At 42.6% G+C, this 22,580-nt stretch overlaps 1 long non-coding RNA gene across 3 annotated transcripts in view, besides 1 other annotated feature; it reads left to right on the forward strand.

The window, feature by feature from the left end:
* LOC105379047 (uncharacterized) overlaps window positions 1-20,773 on the forward strand; it is a 31,751-nt gene extending 10,978 nt beyond the window's left edge. For all 3 annotated transcript variants that reach the window (XR_948497.3, XR_948498.3, XR_948499.3), the window contains exons 2-3: window positions 15,586-15,726; window positions 20,465-20,773. This is a non-coding gene — a long non-coding RNA (uncharacterized LOC105379047). The remainder of the gene's footprint in view (window positions 1-15,585; window positions 15,727-20,464) is intronic.
* Window positions 2,672-3,191: an enhancer, noted in NCBI's record as "active region_22726". NCBI's record gives its function as "activates an Ori minimal core promoter by ATAC-STARR-seq in GM12878 lymphoblastoid cells {active_cell/tissue: GM12878}" and the evidence as "EXISTENCE:reporter gene assay evidence [ECO:0000049][PMID:35858748]".
* Window positions 20,774-22,580: the final 1,807 nt, after the last annotated feature.

A 22,580-nucleotide genomic window follows, 5' to 3' on the forward strand; every position in this document is an offset into this window, starting at 1 on the left:
GTGGGAGGATCTCTTGAAGCCAGGGGCTCAAGATCAGACTAGACAACATAGTAAGACCCTGTCTCTACAAAAAATTTTAAAAAATCAGCTGAGAATGGTGGCCTGCGCCTGTAGTCCCAGCTACCCAGGAGGCTGAGGTAGGAGGATCAAGGCTGCGGTGACTTATGATTGTGCCACTGCATTCCAGCCTGGGCTACAGAGTGACAACCTGTCTCTAAAATAAATAAACAAGTAAAAACTGAAAACAAACAAATAAAAAATACACTTAGTAAAAGCATATTTCTTAAGGATACACTCAGATTGGGTAGGTTAAATATGGCCAGGTCTGATATTGTTGGATAAAGCTGTATTTATATTGGGCCAAAACATCTGAAAAACTAAACATCCTATTTTCATTGATGTTTCAGGAAATATGCTATCATGTCTAATAAGCCTTACATTGAAAATAAAATAAACTTGGTAATTGTTTGTTTGTTTTAGGCATGATATTTTAAAACTGAAGTTGTCAAAAAGGACAGTAGAGCTGGGCACGGTGGCTCATGCCTGTAATCCCAGCACTTTGGGAGGCTGAGACATGTGGACCACTTGAGGTCAGGAGCTTGAGACCAGCCTGGCCAACATGGTGAAACACCATCTTTACTAAAAATACAAAAATTAGCCAGACATGTTGGTGCATGCCTGTAATCCCAGCTACTTGGGAGGCTGAGGCAGGAGAATCACTTGAACCTGGGAGGCAGAGGTTGCAGTGAGCAGAGGTCGTGCCACTGCAACCTGGGCGTAATGAGTGGAACTCCTTCTCAAAAAATAAAATTTAAAAAAAAGAAACAGAGAATTGCTTCACTCTTCAGCCACAAGGTCTCAACTTTGCTCTTCCAGATTTTAACAAAATACTAGTGAGGACTAAGCTCTGATTTTTTTTACCTTGCCCAAATTCCTATCTAAGGGGTCTAGGGAGTCATGCCCTGCAAACCATAAATTCTCATCAGATGAGTTTTATTTGACCCTATATATTGTGACTGACTTTTGAATCTGATTCTGGCATAACATTATGAGACAAGAAAAAAAATCAAAATATTTAACCCCAAAATATATTTCCTTGCCATTCCTTGAAATTTCCCTGGAAAGTCTCTTGTGGGGAAAATCCAAATCCTATAGAGAATCCCCTTTCCCCTTTGTTTTCTTTCCTTCCTTTCCAGATCCAGGAAATAATCAACTAAGAGCCAGGTACCCTTTTAGGTCCGATAAGAAACATTTTACAACCTGCTCTCTCTCTGAAGTCTGCTATCTGAGAGCTTCCTCTGCACAATAAAACTTGGTCTCCATAATCCTCTACCTTAACCTGAACATTTCCTTTCTACTGATCCCAGGTCTTCAGATAAACTCAACCAATTGTCAACCAGAAAATGTTTACATTTACCTGTTGCCTGGAAGCCCCCTCTTTGAGTTGTCCCACCTTTCTGAACCAAACCAATGTAACTAATGTAACCTCAGCCTCCTGAGTAGCTAGGATTACAAGTGTGCACCACCACACCTTAGTGATTTTTGTATTTTTAGTAGATACGTGGTTTCACCACGTTGGCCAGGCTGGTCTCGAACTCCTGATCTCAAGTGATCCACCCACCTCGGCCTCCCAAAGTGCTGAGATTACAGGCATGAGCCACTGCGCCTGGCCAGCAATTCTCTGTTTCAATTCCTAGGGGAATTGGTAGATCCTTAGGAAATGGGACCTGAGAGGGTAGGCTCTGGGAATGGGGTAACAGATGAGGGGGCTGGTCTCTCTTTCTCTTGATCTAGATTTTGACTACAGACATTCTGGTTATTCTACCATGGATTTGGGATTTCATATCAATCTGAAGCTAAATTAAATTCTCCATAGAGTCACCTTATATCTGTCCCCTGTGAGATGCCAGAGTGTAAGGAGTGTTTTATGTACCCCTACAGGGGAGGGGGGCACTTTAATACCCACATACCAAGGTAAAAGAGCCTGGCATGTGCTCCTGGAATCAGGAGGAATCAGGAACCTGTCACATGTCTGAAAATGGCTAAACAGGAGGAGGCTCGGTGAAGGGACATGTGGTGGCAGGGTGAATAGACTTGGTGTGATGGTTAATTTTCCACGTTAACTTGACTGGGCCACAGAGTTCCTAGATACTTGGTCAAACATTCTGGGTGTGTCTGTGAGAATGTTTCTGGATGAGTTTAACATTTGAACTGGTACACTAAGTAAAGCAGATTGCCCTCCCTAATGGATGGGTGGGCTCCACCCAATCAATAGAAGGCCTGAATAGAACAAAGAGATGGACCCTCATGTGAGTAAGAGGGAATTCCTCTTATGTAATTGCCTTTGAGCTGGAACATCAATTTTTTTCCTGCTGTTTGACATGAACTGAAACTTTCCTGGTTCTCGAGCTTGCTGACTACAGATCTTGGAATTTTTCAAGCTCCATAATTGCACGAGTCAACTCCTAATAATCTCTGTCTCTCTCTCTCTCTGTCTCCCTCTGGGCATATACATTCTATTTTTTTTCTGGAGAACCATGAATAATAAAGTTGGAAATAAGGGTCTGTGGGACAAACACACGTTTCCTATGGGATGCATGTGAATTACATCAAAAAGGGTTAGATTCTGGTTGTCTTAAAAGGGACTTCACCAAAATGGTCTTTCTAAAGAGTGGTGGTGGGCCATCTGAAGCTTCAAGCTGAGGTGATGTGGTTGGGGTGAGAAGTGGCAGAGAAAGCAGTTGTCAGCATGAATCATTTTCTATGAAAGGAAACTGGAAGTAAGAGGTCCTCAGAAATGGAAACTCAGAAAGTCTATTGCATCAGTCACAGAACAATGTTCTTGTCTTCTACTCCATCTTCTACATTGACTAGACCGTAGAAGAGCTGAAAATAGCAGCTAGAAAATACAGGAGGTGGATCTAGGAAGAAAGAATACCCCTACTGTATTAGTCTGTTCTTGCATTGCTATAAAGAAATATCTGAGACTGGGTAATTTTCAAAGAAAAGAGGTTTAATTGGCACATGGTTTCACAGGTTGTACAGGAAGCAATGCAGCATCTGCTTCTGGGGGAGGCCTGAGGGAGCTCTTACTCATGGCAGAAGGCAAAGCGGGAGCAGGTGTCTACGTGGCAGGAACAGGAGCAAGTGGGTACTGGGACAGCAATGCCACACATTTTTAAACAACTAGATCTCACTACTAGAATAGCACCAAGGGGGATGGTGATAAACCATTTATGAGAACCTGCCCCCATGATCCATCCAATCACCTCCCACCAGGCCCCACCTCCAACACTAGGGATTACAGTTCGACATGAGATTTGGGTGGGGACATAGATCCAAATCATATCACCCACTTTTCTGCCACATGCACACATCCACCCTAGCCTTTCCCTTTTTTTTTGGCTTGCAAGTTGATTCAGGCCTGTGGACTGAATGAGGGGGAGTGAGGACCTAAAAAGAAGTGTTGAATCAAATGAGAATATAATGTTTTGCTATAAGATGGTACCAGGCTTCTTTTTTATCATTGATTATTTTTTTCTTTTTTAAAAAAATTATTTTTTTTAAATTAGAGATGAGTTTTTGCCATGTTGCCCAGGCTGGTCTCGAACTCCTGAGCTCAGGCAATCCACCTGCCTTGGTCTTCCAAAGTGCTGGGATTACAGGTGTGAGCCATCACACCCAGCTGGCACTGGGCTTCTTAATTTTTGCCTGAGACCAGAAGAGCTAGCATGTCTGCCTAAAATTTCATCCAAGGACGGATAAGAATAATTTGACAGAGAAGGTTTAAAAGAGCAGTAGAGAGAGTTGCTTTCATTTGCCTCTGACTGAGTTCAGCCCATTCAATGAGCCAGTTACATGCAGTTAGCCAAAAAAGGAGCCCTGCTTATGCTACATTTTTGAAGTGCCAATTTGCAAAACTTCCATATAACTGCCATGACTATTGTATTCCTAAAATTATAATGGAGAGCTAAAAGTTCCCTTGAGATCTAAGCCCCGGGGAATTCTCTTTCTTCTTTTTTATCCTTCAATGACTCTGCAATAGGCCAGTGAACTCATTTCCTGAGCCAATTAGATGATTCAAAGTTTCTCATCTTTCCCTAGCAAGCGGACTCAGATTAGAAAAAAAAAAAAAAAGTTTATCATCTCCAAAATAGAGCCTTACAATTCTTTTATTTACTCATTTGTTTCTTTTTTAGGCTAGTCAAGTGAAGCAGGGGAGTGGAGAAGGAACAAAGAAATCTGTAATAGGTTGTGATCAATTACTTGTAAACATCACTGTTTACAAGAGAGACCTGCAGCCTAAAAAATTCTGTAAGCAGAGGTTGGGTATTGTAGCTTTGTATGTATCATTGTAACAATATATGTATCAAAATGACGTCAAGACTTAATGAACCAACAAGGTATGTGATTAACTCAAGGTGGTGGGAGTCCCTTCAAGAGAAGGCAGATAAAAGAAAAAAAAAAGAGGGCAGAAGATGTGTTGGCAGTAACCTAAATCCCTTTTATCAAGTGAAAGAGACTTCCTCATGAGATGTAAATCCATTTGTCCCTAAGGAAAGTGAAAGTTATAGGGCTATAGCTTTCAAACACTGCTCCTGTTTCCAGAGAACAATACCTTTACCCTTAAGTATTCATAACAACCTCTCAGCTTTAGCAACTCACTGCTTTTTGCCAGTTAGCAAAGTTCTCTGATAAAATGTCATCAGATCATCAACCCACAAGCTATAAACCACCTACCCACCCGCTCTGTTCTTCAACACCAATTTTCTTTTAATGTTGGTTTGTTTGGCGGGGAGGGGGGAATAGGGAGCTATTTTTATGATTTATAGCATCTGCTTGATCTCCAAGATTTCGTTTGTTTAAATATTGAGTCTGGAATTCCGAAAGCACTTGAAATATTTTGCAAAGAAGTGAATACCTTTTTCTTTAAACTGAAATGAATACCTTTTTCTTTAAATTGAAATGAAGAAGAAACTGAAATGGTTTCTTCTCATTTGCCTGAAAGTGGAGATCATGGAGAATCAGAAAACATCAAAAGGGGTGGAGCAGGGAGAGGGTAGCTGTTAGGCCAGCTTTGATTTAAACAGAGTATAAAGGCTCCTTAGATTAATAATCTAGTTTTGGTTTCCAAAGCAGCCTCTGCAATCTCCTAATGAATGGTGGAATTTCAGGACCACCAGTCTCATCTTGAATTTTCCATAGGATGCTACTTTTATATTTCCACACCCTAAATCCTTTTTTTTTTTTTTTTTTTGAGACGGAATCTCGCTCTGTCGCCCAAGCTAGAGTGCAGTGGCTCGATCTTGGCTCACTGCAACCTCCGCCTCCTGGGTTCAAGCGATTCTCCTGTCTCAGCCTCCTGAGTAACTAGGACTACAGGCCTGCAACACCACACCCAGCTAATTTTTGTATTTTTGGTTGAGACAGGGTTTCACCATGTTGGCCAGGCTGGTCTTGAACTCCTGACCTCTGGTGATCCACCTGTCTCAGCCTCCCAAAGTGTTGGGATTACAGGTGTGAACCACCACGCCCAGCCACACATCCTAAATCTTTGCCCTTTAAAGGAGAGCTTCTTTGGTCTGCCTCCATTCTCCTTTTTCTAGTCGCAGGTAAACTTACCTCTTAACTTCTCACATGCGGATAAAATGCTAATTGTTGCAGGCCGAAAGAGTGAGGGTTGTGATCAACTCAGTATACCACTGGAAGCTATATGAGTAAACAGCAAACTGTTCTCATAAATGCAGAATGTTGGCAAACTGACAAACTGCGTCTGCCGCCTAGAACGAATGCTGAGGGCCGTCATGCCCCAAGTGCAGTGTTGCTTGTGATTAGGCACATCTGAAGCCTGTTAGCAATAATGTGAACCTGTGATCAATTAAGCAGCTGACCAATCTTTACCTCCTCCTCCCTGCTCTTTCTATCCAACAAATACAAAGGGCTCTAAATGCTTAGGGCTGCTGCCTTTATTCACTAGAAGCAGGGAGCCCTCTTCTTCTTCCCCGGACCCCTTTAAAACAGTTTCTTTTGTCTTAAGTTTTCATTTCTATGTTTGTCCCCCTTCCTTCCGTCCTGTAAGGATGGTCTCAAGTGGTAATAGTAACAGTAGTAAATGTGGTAGTGAGGGTCTCAAGTAGTAGCAGTGGCAGTCTGTCACAGCTAATTGCTTCTGGTTACAAGTCATTTTTATTTCAAAGTGGAAACATGAGAACTTCAGAATTATCAGTCATAATCGAGACCCTCACAAAGAGCTCAGTGGGCATTTTCTTTTGCATACCAGAAGCCAAACGCCTGGTTAGTGTACATATTATTTTATCTCTCAGGGTCATATACTATACTGTAACATCATTATACCTTGCAGTTCTAGCCCAGTGGAGCTGAAAGAAACTTTTCTTTTTGCTTGCTTTTGTTTCAGTTTAGACAAGGGGTCAGTAATCCTTTTGGACTAAACGACAACAATGCAGCTATTGATGAGTTTAAGAGGTAGGCAGAGAGAAAAATGAAAAAGCAGAAAGTGACAAGTGAGAGTAAGTGAAAGAAAAGCAAGTAAAGAGGAACAGAAGAACAAGAGAAGGAAAAGAGAAATAGAGATGGGAGAGGAGTTTATGTAGAAGACTGGCATGTTACTGGTATCACATGCAGGGGTCAGGAAAAACTCACTTTTGCCGTCTGAAGGTTCACGAAAATTAACTGAGAAAAGGCAGATTAAACGAGAAAAGGCAGCCAGGTGCAGTGGCTCACACCTGTAATCCCGGCACTTTAGGAGGCTGAGGCAGGTGGATCACTTTAGGTCAGGAGTTTGAGACTGGTCCGACCAACATGGTGAAATCTTGTCTCTACTAAAAATACAAAAGTTAGCCAGGTGTAGTGGCACTGTAATCTCAGCTTCTCAGGAGGCTGAGGCAGGAGAATCACCTAAACCTGGGAGGTGGAGGTTGCAGTGATCCGAGATCCTGCCACTGCACTCTAGCCTGGGCAACAGAACAAGACTCCACCTCAAAAAAGGCATACAAATTTATTAACATGCATGGGGGAAAAATCACAGTGATTATCCCAAATTCCCAGTGGGGTACAGAAGCTTACATGCCTGTTCTTTTTTCTTTTTTTTTTCCTTTGAGACAGAGTCTTGCTCTGTCACCCAGGCTGGAGTGCAGTGGCGCTATCTCGGCTCACTGCAACCTCTGCCTCCCGTGTTCAAGCGATTCTCCTGCCCCAGCCTCCTGAGTAGCTGGCACTACAGGCATGTGCCACAATGCCCAGCTAATTTTTTGTATTTTCAGTAGAGACAGGGATTCACCTGTTATCCAGGATGGTCTCGATCTCCTGACCTCATGATCCACCCACCTCGGCCTCCCAAAGTTCTGGGATTACAGGTGTGAGCCACCGCACCCAGCCTATGCCTGTTCTTGATAGGGGAAGAAGGAAATGGAAAGTGTAGACAATTTTTTTGAAGGGCAGTAAATGATTATTAGGAAGAATAAACGGACCCAGGAGACTGAAATTAACTTGTAAATTATTTTCTTTGGAATTTGAAGGAGGCTGAGAGGCAGGCATTAGCTTCTAAAAAAAAAGAAAAAAGAAAAAAGAAAAAGTCCAGGCGAGGTGGCTCACGCCTGTAATCTCAGCACTTTGGGAGGCCAAGGTGGGTGGATCACCTAAGGTGAGGAGTTCGAGACCAGCCTGGCCAACATGGTGAAACCCCATCTGTACTAAAAATTCCAAAAATTAGCCAGGCATGGTGGCAGGCACCTGTAATCCCAGCAACTTGGGAGGCTGAGGCAGGAGAATTGCTTGAACCTGGGAGTCGGAGGTTGCAGTGAGCCGAGAGTGTGCCACTGTACTCCTGCCTGGGTGACAGAGCGAGACTCTGTCTCAAAAAAAAGTCCATCCTGGTGTGGTTGCATACCTCAGTCTTCTTTTTCAAAGTAGATAAGACTTTAGAAAGGAGTAAAAGGCAATTGTTTCTTTGGTAAGATGCTTTCTTGGTCAGGTTAGGAAATTTCAGAGTTCCTCCCTGACCTTGGAGTGGGAAAAAAACAAGACAAGATTAGGAGGACTTTGATTCTGAGCCTTATTTCCAAGGCCTTTTTCTTTTCTTTTCTTTCTTTTTTTTCTTTTTTTTTTTTTTTGAGATGAAATCTCTCTCTCTCACCCAGGCTGGATGGAGTGCAGCAGCATGATCTCGGCTCACTGCAACCTCCACCTCCTGGGTTCAGGTGATTCTACTGCCTCAGCCTCCTGAGTAGCTGGGATTACAGGCAGGCGCTACCTCACCCGGCTAATTTTTGTATTTTTAGTAGAGACGGGGTTTCGCCATGTTGGCCAGGCTGCTCTCAAACTCCTGACTTCAGGTGATCCGCCCTCCTCGGCCTCCCAAAATGCTGGGATTACAGGCATGAGCTGCCGTGCCTGGCCAGGTCTTTTAATTTTTAAAAGCACTCAGCATGCCAAAGTGCCATATTTTGGGGAATTATTTTCTACTTCCCATTACACACATGCCAGGGATGACCCATTGCCTAATTTTAACTAATAAAATCATATATATCATACAAGATTTTTGCATGTTTCATAATGTGGAAATCACCAGAACATTTTATTTTTCTTGCTGCATTTGATATTTTTGGCCTCAGTCATTTTATTTTTGGAAAGGGAAGAGATATATACTCTTGGTTGTGAATAAAATCACATGAAATGAGTAAATAGTGTGACCCTAAAGGAAAAAACTGAGGCAAAATTAATATAAGTAGAAAGTTTATTTGGCCCTAGTTTGAGGACTGCAACCCAGGAGCATAGATTCAAGTTGCTCTGAATATATGCTCCTATTAGCAGTAGTTACTAATGGTTTTTCTTTCTTTCTTTTTTTTTTTTTTTTTTTTTGAGACAGAGTTTCGCTGTTGTCTTGTCATCCGGGCTGGAGTGCAGTGGCATGATATCGGCACACTGCAGCCTCCGCCTCCCGGGTTCAAGCGATGCTTGTGCCTCAGCTTCCCAAGTAGCTGGGATTACAGGTGTGTGCCTGGCTAATTTTTGTATTTTTAGTAGAGACAGGGTTTCACTATGTTGCCCAGGCTGGTCTCGAACTCCTGGCCTCAGGTGATCCACCCACCTCAGCTTCCCAAAGTGCTGGGATTACAGGTGTGAGCCACCGCACCTGGCCACAAATGGGTTTTTAAAGGAAAAAGAAGAGGCAGTTCCTAAGTTGTTTATCAAGAATTTATGTTACAATAACAAGCTATTGGTTGGCTATACATTGTTCTTTGTATCACAAATTCCAGGAACATGAAGATAGCGGGTAAGGCAGCTGTCAGAAATAAAATGCTTTTAAATAATTGCCCCTGGCTACTAAAAATACAAAAATTAACCCGGCGTGGTGCTGCACACCTGTAATCCCAGCTACTTGGGAGGCTGAGGCAAGAGAATCGCTTGAACCCAGGAGTGGAGGTTGCAGTGAGCTGAGACTGCGCCACTGCACTCCAGCCTGGGGACAGAGCAAGATACCATCTCAAAAAAAAAAAAAAGAATTGCCCCTGGGAATGGGTGCTGTGAGATGTGACCGAAATCCCATACTCCTGTCTCTCCAGGCCTGATGAATTTTGCATACTTCACATATCTTAGGCTGCTCTGAGCTATTTTTCTCATTTCCTCCTTTTGATCAGAATGGTTCTCTTCTGAAAGCACTAATGATCAATATTTTAGATTTAAGTTTGTCCCATGTTGCTGGGAAGACTCATTCCCAGATAATCTTGTCCCATGTCAGAGGGAAAGAGCAGAAGTACTACGGCTTAAGAAGTTCCAAGGCTGAATCAGTTGGCAACAATTCAGGGACTGAATTGAACAATAAAGGGTCAGAGTAATAGGATCTTAGTCGGGCCGTTTACTTACACTGGAGTTGAGGCATGTTAGCTCATTTCTAAGCATCTAGCTATCATGATTAGTTTTTTTGTTATAAACTTTTGTGGTAAACTTTAGACATCTAGAAATACAAAGCATAATTAATTCAGGCATTTAAAATATGACACAAATAAGGACAGTTATCAACAAAACATCTTGAAATACAAATATGAAAAGTATTCCTATTCCTGAAGATAACCAAATGAATATTGTAACCTATTTCTTGTCCTGGTCTAAAGAACAAAGTATTGGAGATCTCCACTGAGGAAGATGTCCACTCAGGCAGGGCTGCCTAATAGTGTCCCTTCTAATGTAGTTGTTGGAACAAGTCCTTTATTTGATAGCATTTTCTTTTCTTCCTTCTTTCCTTCCTTCCTTCCTTCCTTCCTTCCCTCCCTCCCTTCTTCCTTCCTTCCTTCCTTTCTCTTTCTTTCTTTCTCTCTCTCTCTCTTTCTTTCTTTCTTTTGGCATTTTCCATTAAACAAAATCTTCAGGTTGGAGTCCATGATCTTTGATGTTTTTGTCTCCCGCTGGGAGCTTGCTGTTAAAATAATCCTTAATTAATTTAGAATTTTCAGTGAGAAACTTATCAGGCCTTGCAATAATGAAGAATACCACCTTGTTAATGGAAAAACCAAGCTCTGTAAAATATTTTCAAGAGTTTTATTCTGAGCTAACATGAGTGAACATGGCCCAGGAAAACACAACCTCAGGAATCCTGAGAACTTGTACCAAAGCCTGGATTACTGTTTGGTTTTATGTATTTCAGGGAGGCAGGAGTTATAGGTGAAGACATAAATCAATACATGGAAGGTATACATGGTTCTGTATGAAAAGGTGGGATATCTAGGCCAGTGCAGTGGCTCACGCCTGTAGTCCCAGCACTTTGGGAGGCTGAGGCAGGAGGATCACGAGGTCAGGAGATGGAGACCATCCTGGCCAACATGGTGAAACCCCATCTCTACTAAAAATGCAAAAATTAGCTGGGTGTGGTGGCTCACGCCTGTTGTCCCCGCTACTCGGGAGGCTGAGGCATGAGAATCGCTTGAACTCGGCAGGCAGAGTTTGCAGTGAGCCAAGATCATGTCACTGTGCTCCATCCTGGCAACAGAGCGAGACTCCATCTCAAAAAAAAAAAAAAAAGAAAAGAAAAGAAAAGGTGGGATATCTAAAGCAGGGGCTTACAGGTTAAGGGTGGATTCAGAGATTCTTTAATTTGCAGTTGACCAAAAGAGTAGGGCTCTGTCTAAAACTTGAAGTCAACACAAAGGGATTTTTTTTTTTTGAGACAGATTTTTGCTCTCTCACCCAGGCTGGAGTGCAATGGCACAATCTTGGCTCACTGCAACCTCTGCCTCGTGGGTTCAAGTGATTCTCCTGCCTCAGCCTCCCGAGTAGCTGGGATTACAGGCATGCACCACCACGCCCTGCTAATTTTGTCTTTTAAGTAGAGATGGGGTTTCACCATGTTGGTCAGGCTGGTCTCGAACTCCTGACCTCAGGTGATCTGCCCACCTCAACCTCCCAAAGGGCTAGGATTACAGGTGTGAGCCACCACACTCGGCCAGAAAGGCACGTTTTAAGTTAAGCATGCTATGTAGCAAGATGGATGGCTTGCAGACATGACTTAACCCTTTCCTTCCATAGTCTTAGGTCTTGTTTATAATTTGATATCTTATTGCCACAAAGAGTCTGTTTTTTCAGTCTTATAATCTCTATTTTAACATTAATGCTGGTCAATTGTTGTGCCTAAACTCCAAAAGGGAGGGAATATAATGAGGCGTGCTTGACCTCTCTTCCTGTTTTGACTGGGAGTTCATTTTTTTTTTTTTTTCTGACCGAGTCTCACTCTGTCGCCCAGGCTGGAGTGCAGTGGCGTGATCTCAGCTCACTGCAAGCTCCGCCTCCCAGGTTGATGCTATTCTCCTGCCTCAGCCTCCTGAGTAGCTGGGACTACAGGCGCCTGCCACCACGCCCGGCTAATTTTTTTGTATTTTTAGCAGAGACGGGGATGGTCTTGATCTCCTGACCTTGTGATCCGCCTGCCTTGACCTCCCAAAGTGCTGGGATTGCAGGCGTGAGCCACCACGCCCAGCCCTTGGGAGTTCAGTTGTTAAGGTTTCTCTGGGGTCCCCTTGGACAAGAGGGGGTCCATTCAGTTGGTAAGGGACTTTGGATTTTTAGTTTACAACTGTTTTTTTTGTTTGTTTTGTTTTGTTTTTGAGATGGAGTCTCGCCCTGTCGGAGTGCAGTGGTGCGATCTCGGGTCACTGCAACCTCCGCCTCCCAGGTTCAGGCAATTCTCTGCCTCAGCCTCCCAAGTAGCAGGGATTACAGGTGCCTGCCACCATGCCCAGCTAATTTTTGTATTTTTAGTAGAGACAGGGTTTCATCTTCTTGACCAGGCTGGTCTTGAATGCTTGACCTCATGATCCACCCACCTCAGCCTCCCAAAGTGATAAGATTACAGGCGTGAGCCACCGTGCCTGGCCCAACTCTTTTTTTTTTTTTTTGAGATGGAGTCTTGCTCTGTCTCCCAGAATGGAGTGCAGTGGCACGATTTTGGCTCACTGCAACCTCCTCCTCCTCCCGGGTTCAAGCAATTCTCCTGCCTCAGCCTCCCAAGGAGCTGGGATTGCAGTTGCATTCCACCACACCTAAATTTTGTACTTTTAGTAGAGACAGGGTTTCACCATGTTGGCCAGGCTCGTTTCGAACTCCTGACCTCATGATCCACCCGCTCGGCCTCCCAAAGTGCTGAGATTACAGGCGTAAGCCACCATGTCTGGCCTAGTTTACAACTTTTAAGGAGAGCTAGTTCATAGGCTCCTTTATCCAGGTGCACGGGTAGTCCCATTCCCATTTCAAAGGCAGAAAGCTGATGTTTTCCAAACAGGGTAGAATGTAAGTTAAGCAAATGGAAGATCCTTAGGCCAGGGAAAGTTAAATTTTTCTTTAAGCTTTCAACTGACTTTTCACTATTCCGTGTATTCATTCTACCAGTCTGGAAGACTGAGTGATTTGCACAATGGAAATGCTAATCCATCCAATCTCAATCATCTTTGACCACACAAAATAGTATTTCTGGCTGAGCATAGTGGCTAATGCCTGTAATCCCAGCACTTTGGGAGACTGCTGTGGGAGGATTGCTTGACCCCAGGAGTTCGAGAGCAACCTGGGCAACATAGTGAGACCTCATCTCCACCAAAATAATTTTTTTAAATAAAAAAACCAAGATAAGATTTCTATAAACTTCTCATAACCACTTACTTAGAATTTTTCACTTTCTCTTTCTTTAAGTTTCTGTGTTCATGTAGTTTTATCCATCATTCTTTCTTTTGTCCTTTCAACTTAAAACACCCTTTAAAAGCCTCTAGACAAAATTAGTTTTCCCTTAACAGAAACCTCACTTTCATATCTTCTTTATAACCTTCTTTACCAAAAACACATCCTATTTTTCTTACTCACTCTGTATACAGAATTGTTTCTCTTACATCTAGTAGTTTCAATTGCATATATGAACTACTATTTTTAACTTTTAGCAAACTGAATTTCTGGTGGAAAACTTAGGAAGTAATTTTGAACTGTTTTATATCATTACTGATAGATGGATGAAAACCATTTTATAATTTTTAGAAAGATATCTCAATTTATTTTTGTTTATTAACAGGTCTAAATATATTTAGCTTTTCTATACCATATAAAAATAAGATATCAAAGTATATAGATTTAAACTTATATTTAATGATTAATGTTTTAGTATTTTTACTTAGAGATGACTCAGACATTTCATGAACATCTACTACTTAATTATAACATGACTTTAATATTAATTTACTGAAGCTGGGCACAGTGGCTCATGCCTGTAATCCCGGCACTTTGAGAGGCTGAGGTGGGTGGATCACTTGAGGTCAGGGGATCAAGACCAGCCTGGCTAACATGGTGAAACCCCGTCTCTACTAAAAGTACAAAAATTAGCCAGGTGTGGTGGTGCATACCTGTAATGTAATCCCAGCTACTTGGGAGGCTGAGGCGGGAGAATCTCTTGAACCTGGGAGGCAGAGGTTGCAGTGAGCTAAGATCGCTCCACTGCACTCCAGCCTGGGTGACAGAGCAAGATTCCACCTTAAAAAAAAAAAAAAGTCAAGTTACTGAAAAAGATTTTTGAAAAGTTCATTTATAAATTTTTCAAAAACTCACCACTATACAAATGAGTACACTGATAAACTTTTGTTTCTATTCATTTAACTTACTCACTTTTAACAATTATGCTTGAATTGTTCATTAAACAAAGCTAGCCATCATCTCATGTTATTTCCGTGTTAATCATTTTTACAGCCTGCAAATGTTAGGCAGCTGCCACCTAAGCAAAAACCCTAAAGGTAAATACATGGGTATTTTGCTGATCCGAAGACATAGCTGTTTTCATTAAACCAATAATATTAAAGTGGTTCTTCTTTACTAAAGATTTACTCAAGTCATATGAACTGAACATTTTAGTTAGTTTCTATTTTTCTGATAAAGTATTTAAGTGCTTACTTTTTTTTTTTTTTTTTTTTTTTGAGACGGAGTCTCCCTCTGTCACCCAGGCTGGAGTGCAGTGGCACGATCTCGGCTCGCTGCAATCTCCGCCTCCCGGGTTCCAGAGATTCTTCTGCCTCAGCCTCCTGAGTAGCTGGGATTCAGGCGTGCATCACCATGCCTGGCTAATTTTTTATGTATTTTTAGTAGAGATGGGGTTTCACCATATTGGCCAAGCTGGTCTCAATCTCCTGACCTCGTGATCCGCCCGCCTCGACCTTCCGAAGTGCTGAGATTACAGGCGTGAGCCACCATGCCCGGCCAAGTGCTTACTTTTTTTTTTAGATCCAATTAATTGGAGCTCTTTTGTATATTTTGGTAGTGAAATATCCCATACGCGTAATATAAACGTATATACGTACAGATCTTTCTTTTTTTTTTTGAGACTGAGTTTCCCTCTTGTTGCCCAGGCTGGAGTGCAATGGTGCCATCTCGGCTCACCACAACCTCCGCCTCCCGGATTCAAGCGATTCTCCTGCCTCAGCCTCCCGGGTAGCTGGGATTACAGGCATGCGCCACCATGCTGGGCTTATTTTGTATTTTTAGTAGAGACGGGGTTTCTCCACTTTGGTCAGGCTGGTCTCAAACTCCCCACCTCAGGTGATCCTCCCACCTCAGCCTCCCAAAGTGCAGGGATTACAGGTGTGAGCCACCATGCCTGGCTGAAAAATCATCTTAAACAAAGGTAAGGCTTATTACATAAACTTTAAACCAATGTAGTTTAGGTGCAGAGAGGGAGATGTTCTTACAAATGGACATTTCCTTTATAGATGTAATTATCTTTTATTTATTATTTCTTTTTTTTTCCATAAGCCTTTTGCACTCCTAAATATCTTTTACAAAAAGTTTCAAAATAACTAGCTAAATGTCAGAAAGTTGCATTTTGGAGACTGATTTAGTTTGATGGGTAGTCTTTTCAACTTCATGTTTCTTAATTAAATTACTGACTTTAGGGTGGAGCCCTTTAATGAATAGGGCAAATAAAACATTTATTGTTTTTAGGGCCTAATATTTAAATATGTGAAAAGCAGGCACAGCTGGAAGGCAGAGCATCTAGATCTCCAGAAATCAAGGATTCCACATTTACTTTGAATCCCTGGTTTCTTCCAAAAGGGAAATGCCACAAGACTAGGCCGTGCAACATTTCCGCAGTGCTCCTCGCTACAAAGACATTCCCCTAAGGCTGGTGGGCAACTCAACACTCAGCTCAGTACGTGGTCAGCTCGTCCTCCATAGGAGCCTTATGCCTTGGTGGTGAGTGTTTCCACAGATTCCAAGTGTTCAAATAATATGTCTTTTATCTAAATGTGCAAATAAACAAGTAGCTCCCTGCAGTAATTACCATTCACTGCAGCTGCTGTCAGCCACTTCTGCAGGTTTCACCAGTGACTTGCCAGCTATTACACAAACAAAGATCAAGTTCTCCCTCACAGTATAAAGTAACCCTTGGCATTCCCAAAGCCAAAGAGATCAGAATACTCAATGCAGAAGAAAGCAAAGCTGTAGACCTGTGAGAAACCTGCGTATGACTTTTGAGACTCCATGAGAGACAGAGGACCTCCCAAAAGGGGAGAGGGTGGCATATTTTTGTGTGTTCCTTGAGCGGTCTCAGGGCTATTAGGTCTCATACATGGTATTGAAGATGGCAAAAGGAAGGAGTAGCAGAAGTGGAAGTGAGTGAAAGAACAAGTCCTGGAGGACCCAACTGAGGGAGATTTTTTTTTTTTTGAGTCGGAGTCTTGTTCTGTCACCCTGGCTGGAGTGCAATGGCACGATCTCAGCCCACTGCAACCTCTGCCTCCTGGGTCCAAGTGATTCTCCTGCCTCAGCCTCCCAAGTATCTGGGATTACGGGCATGTGCCACCATAACCAGGTAATTTTTGTATTTTTAGTAGAGACAGGGTTTCATCATATTGGTCAGGCTGGTCTTGAACTCCTGACCTCAGGTGATCTGCCCACCTCAGCCTCCCAAAGTGCTAGGATTACAGGCGTGAGCCACTGCACCTGGCTTGAGGGAGATTTTAAGCTATCTAAAAGGCCAGTGAAGTTTTACAGTTTTTTCTCAGCAAAAATCATGCCAACAAAATAGGAAACAGAGGGAACCAACCATTTTTTAAAATAAGGTTTTTAGTATATTAACAACAACAAAAAAAAAACCCAGAAACAGAAAACAAAAGAGGAAAAGCAAAAAGACCTTCTTTATTTTTCACAAAGTAAGTTGTAGTCTGAATATCAGTTTTTAATTAAGCTAACTTCTAGCTGTTAGAACTCTTTAAAAAATATTTTCAAGTCTTTTCTTATCAAATTTCAACCATGACAAACAATAAGTATGTCTTTCAGGCCAGACACGGTGGCTCACGCCTGTAATCCCAACACTTTGGGAGGCCAAGGCAGGTGGATCACGAGGTCAGGTGTTTGAGACCAGCCTGGCCAATATGGTGAAACCCTGTCTCTACTAAAAATACAAAAATTAGCCAGGCGTGGTGGCGCGTGCCTGTAGTCACAGCTACTTGGGAGGCTGAGGCAGGAGAATTTCTTGAATCCAGGAGGCGGAGGTTGCAGTGAGCTGAGAACGCACCACTGCACAGCCAGGGCAACAGAGCAAGACTTTGTCTCAAAAAAAAAAAAAGTATGTCTTTCATTCAGTTTGTCTAGTTCAGCTTTTTCCAACTGTGGACACAAATGAATTATTTTACGCATTTCAAAGGATCCCCCCCATTTCAGCCATTGATGCTTATGACCATTCCAGGTTATGTGGGTCAATTTTCTTAGATATTTACAAGAGGATGCCCCATAAGCATTGTACCTAAAACGAGCTAGTGTTTCTAAAGGTAGCTGTCCCTTTAAAGAGTGCTCAGATTTTGAAGCTTGATTTCCTATAATTTAGGAACTTTTCAAAAGTGATCAAGGCCAGAAATATATTTTGGGTCAAAGTGTGCTGCTTATGAGCATAAATTACCCATATGCATGCTTTGGTTTGGAATCAACAGAAATTGGTCACAAATGAAAATACAAGTCCAAATTATAAGTAACAAAGCAGCTGCAGTTTTAAAAGCATGCTATAGAATTCTAGGCCAGAAGTGGTGAAACCACCGGTGCTAGAGTAACCAAATGATCTATAACTTGAACTTTTTGTCATGAGGTAGAGGCAGAGAAGGCAGAAGTCCTCTGCATAACTTCTTGCCCAACTGTGAACTGAACCTTCTGCTTTGAGGCCGAAGAACTGTGAGGAACAAGAAGAAGGCAGCTCTCTGCAGAGCTTTTTACTTGAATCTCCTATCCAGGGAGAGAAACTAAAGCCCTCATTCTTAAAGGAAAGAGATGGTTTGCAGAACAGCTCAAAATCTAGACTGCAACTGAAAAGAAAGGAAGGTTCAGATTCAAAAGAAGTCACCCCCAGCATGTGGTAGGACCTCCAAAAATGGAGAATGCAATGGGTTCATGCTGGTACCAAGCACTTATTTCAGAGAGAAACACCAGGTGATGGTGGGAAGTCACTCTGAATCATGCCGACCTAAAGGAAAAAACTGAGGCAAAATTAATATAAGTAGAGAGTTGATTTGGGCTGAGTTTGAGGACTGCAACCCAGGAGCATAGATCCAAGGTGCCCTGAATATATGCTTTGCTTAGCAGCAGTTACAAGTGGGTTTTTAAAGGAAAAAAGAAGAGGCAGTTCCTAAGTTGCTTACCAAGAATTTACATTAAAATAACACAAGATATCGATTGTCTGCCACATTGTTCTTTGTATCTCAAATTCCAGGAAAATGAAGATAATGGATGAGGCAGCTAGTCAGGAACAAAATGCTTTTAGCCAATTGCCTGTGGGAATGGGGGATAACGGAAGTCCCATACTCATTCCCTCTGGGCCTGATAAATTTTGCATACCTCACATAGCTCAGAGTGCTCTGAACTGTTTCCTCTTCTAAATAGTAAATAAGAAATTTAGTCTAATGCCTGTTGTACAGTAAGTGCTCAGTAAAATGTTAGAGTCCCTTCCCTTTGAAATGATAGATACGACGTTTCCAATGGAAGAAAAACGAGCAGGAAAAAAACAACCACCACCAGCATAACAAATGGATAAAATTTACAAATAATTACGTAACCTTTATCTATAGATATGAAACTCTTTCTCTACCATGAAACTGCCATTGCAAAATTATAACAGAATATAATTACAGTGAAAAAAATCTGACCTAACTGACTTCATCTTCCTTCTAACCTCCAAGTTGTCCTTGTCCATTCCCGGGCATAGGCCAAACTGACTTTGGGAGAAATTTAGTTTATAGTTTTAACTTTTTTTTTCTTTTTTCTGAGACAGAGTCTTGCTCTGTCACCCAGGCTGGAGTGCAGTGGTGTGATCTCAGCTCACCACAACCTTCACATCCTGGGTTCAAGCGATTCTTGTGCCTCAGCCTCCCAAGCAGCTGGGACCACAGGTGTGCATCAGCATGCTTGGCTAATTTTTGTGTGTTTAGTAGAGACAGGGTTTCGCCATGCTGGCCACACTGGTCTTGAACTCCTAGCCTCAAGTGTCTAGTTTAACTTTGAAACAAAAACAATAACAGCCCTTTCCCAAAACAAACCCCCTTCCTGCCTGGGGACTAGACTGCCTTTGTGGGACTAACAAAATAGCCACAAGATTAGATATTATGGTTTAGGAGTCATGCAGCTGGAGGCTACAAGATTTTGACCCTCCCCAAATTTCTCCTGGAGATAATATCATTATTATAAAACCTAAGATCAGTGCTCAAGATATTTTGTAGACCCTGCACTTGATAGATCAGCTGGCACCACCCAGATGGATAAATTGGCTCATCTGATCTTGTGGCCACCACCCAGGAACTGACTCAGCACAAGAGGACAGCACTGTCTCCCTGTGATTTCATCTTTGACCCGAGCAATCAGCACTCCCAACTCACTGGCCCCTACCCACAAAATTATCCTTAAATACTCCAATCCCTGAATTCTCAGGGAGACTGATCTGAGTGATAATAAAACCCCAGTCTTCGGTAGAGCTGGCTCTGTGTGAATTAAACTCTTTCTCTATTGCAATTCCCTGTCTTGATAAATCAGCTCTATCCAGGCAGTGGGCAAGAAAAACCCACTGGGCAGTTACAAATCTGGGGCTTGTCCAGGATCACCCTTGTGGCTACCTGCCTGTGGCTCAGTACCCAACTCCAGCAATGGATCCACAGGCCAGCCCAAATGGCCACTTAGTTCTGGATTCAGGGCTGACTCTGGTACTGTCTCTACTAATGGGATGCTGCCGACCCAATACACATGGATTTAATTGCAATAGAGAAATAGTACTGGGGAGACTGATTTGAGTAACAATAAAACTCTGGTCTCCTGTACAGCTGGCTCTGCATGAACTACTCTTTCTCTATTGCAGTTCCCCTGTCTTGATAAATCAGCTGTATCTAGGCAGTGGGCAAGGAGAACCTGTTGGGCAGTTACAAATCTGGGGGCTCATCCAGGATTGCCCTTGTTTCTACCCACCCACAGTTTGATAGCCCCCTACTGGTGATTGATTGATCCAGAGGCCAGCCCAAGCAGACATCTAGTTCTCTTTGACTCTGGCACAGTCTGTATTGGCATGGCATTACTGACCCATTGTGCATGGATTTAATTGTGATAGAGAAATAATCCTGGGGAGACATCCCATAACTGTAGCCTCATCACAGGGTGTCTGTCTGTAGCTCCAACATGGGGTGTCTGTAGCCCCATCACAGGGCGTCTGATTAGATGAGTATTCTAGGTGTTGCTAACAGCCCCTTCCTTCTCCTGATTTGTTGGCCTCAATGAAAGGGTTGCTATCTGTAACCCCATCATGGGGTGCCTGTCTATAGCCCCATCGTGGGGTGTCTGCTCTAATTGGATGGAGAATAGGGGACTTATTTGGAGGAATAGTCTTGGTTTGTGATTTAATCTGGAATCTCTGTCTGGAAGGACTTCTGCTTGACTTTTTTGTTGTGTGTATTTGCATGTGTAGAGGAGATCTCTGAAGAAATTGCTGATGAAAGTCCAACAGGCTCTTCCAGTTTGTCTGGTCGGTCACATTTGCTGAAACCTGGAGGAATTGTTAGTGGAAGCTCAACAGGCCTGACTCAGTCTGACTGTCCATTCTTCTGGAAGCTGCAGAGAAAAGAAACCTGGAAACCTTATATGCTGACAAAAAGGGACACAATTGGATATGATGGTTATTTTACCAAGGTTTTGAAATGTCGTGCTTTCAAATATAAACAGACTGCTTTAAGGAATCGAAGTTGACTTATAGAGCCAATAAAAGCCCTGCAGGAAAGCTGGCCTCATACTTTGTCTACACAGTCTCTGTACAGGTTTCCTGACCTGTGGTGAGTAAAGAATGTCACCTTCTGAAAGTCCAGGGATCCCAAGTTATCTTGGGACCTGGAGAGGAGGAAAATTCACCCAACTCATACAGGTATATTTGCAGCCGTAGATAAATCTGTGGATGGGCTCCAAGGCTTTAAAAAGTATAATCTGAGATTCCTTATGGAACAAAGTTTCAGCAAAGCCAATTTTTATTTTATTTTATTTTATTTTATTTTATTTTATTTTATTTTATTTTATTTTATGACAGATTCTCGCTCTGTCACCAGGCTGGAGTACAGTGGCTCAATCTCAGCTCACTGCAACCTCCAACTCCCTGGTTCAAGCGATCCTCCTGCCCCAGCCTCCTGAGTAGCTGGGATTACAGGTGCCTGCCACCATGCCCAGCTAATTTTTGTATTTTTAGTAGAGACGGGGTTTCACCATGTTAGCCAGGATGGTCTCGATCTCCTGACCTCGTGATCCACCCGCCTCAGCCTCCGAAAGTGCTGGGATTATAGGCATGGACCACCTTGTCTAGCCTCAGCAAAGCCAATTTTAAAAGGAGCCTATATGGTAAATAATTATTCTTGCTGCACTTTATACAAACAATCAGGCCATGCATAATACGACTAAAACTTGTTTTGCTTTAATAAAAATGGGGACTGGAAAGAGAAAAATTACGTTTCAGAAAACTACAGTACACCTATTGTTAGTTGTTCTCAAGTTTTTATTATTCTCTGCAATTTGGACTAAATCCTAAATTCTTTGTTGGCTACAAGTCCCCAAACTAATGCTTTCAAATCTTTACTTCTAAAACTAGGATTTGCATTTCTTATCCTAGGACTCATTTACCTTATAGTATGCTACTCACTAAAACTGTAGATGAGAATACTGAAGCCTTGTCAGGTAAGCCTTGGAACCCCAACCCAGTCCCTATGCTCAGACAGCTGCAAAGCGGTTCCACTCCTCTCACCTTGGGGTCAACTCCTATTCTCACTATGCCCCCTGGAAGAAACCAGTGCAGTTTTCGACCTTTTCCCATCTTCCTAGACACACCTTACGAATAAGGTCTTATAAACCTCAAAGAGAGGGATTGAAATCACCATTGCAAAACTATAACTAAGAATATGATTACAGTGAAGGAGATCTGACCTAATCAGTTCCATATTGCTTCTAAACTCCAAGCTGTCCTTGTACATTCCAGGGCATAGGCCAAACTAACTTTGGGAGAAACTTAGTTTATAGTTTAACTTTGAAATAAAGACAGTAACAGCACTTTTCCAAAATAAACCCCCTTTCTGCCTGGGGACACTGCCTTTGTAGGACTAACAAATTAGCCACAAGATTAGAAATTATGGTTTAGGAGTCAGGTAGCTGGAGGCTACAAAATTTTGACCCTACCCAAATTGCTCCTAGAGACAACATCACTATTGCAAAACCTAAGATCAGTGCTGGAGATATTTTGCAGACCCTGCACTTGATAGATCAGCTGGCACCACCCAGATGGATAAACTGGCTCATCTGATCTCGTGGCCTCCACCGGGAACTGATTCAGCAAAAGAGGACAGCTTCAACTTCCTATGAGTTTAATCTCCAACCCAACCAATCAGCACTCCTTACTCACTGTCCCTTACCCACCAAATGATCCTTAAAAACTCCAAATTCTCGGCCGGGCGTGGTGGCTCACGCCTGTCATCCCAGCACTTTGAAAGGCCAAGGCAGGCAGATCACGAGGTCAGGAGATCAAGACCATCCTGGCTAACATGTTAAAACCC

The sequence above is a fragment of the Homo sapiens genome, chromosome 5, assembly GCF_000001405.40.
Source record: "Homo sapiens chromosome 5, GRCh38.p14 Primary Assembly".
NCBI classification, from domain to species: domain Eukaryota; kingdom Metazoa; phylum Chordata; class Mammalia; order Primates; family Hominidae; genus Homo; species Homo sapiens.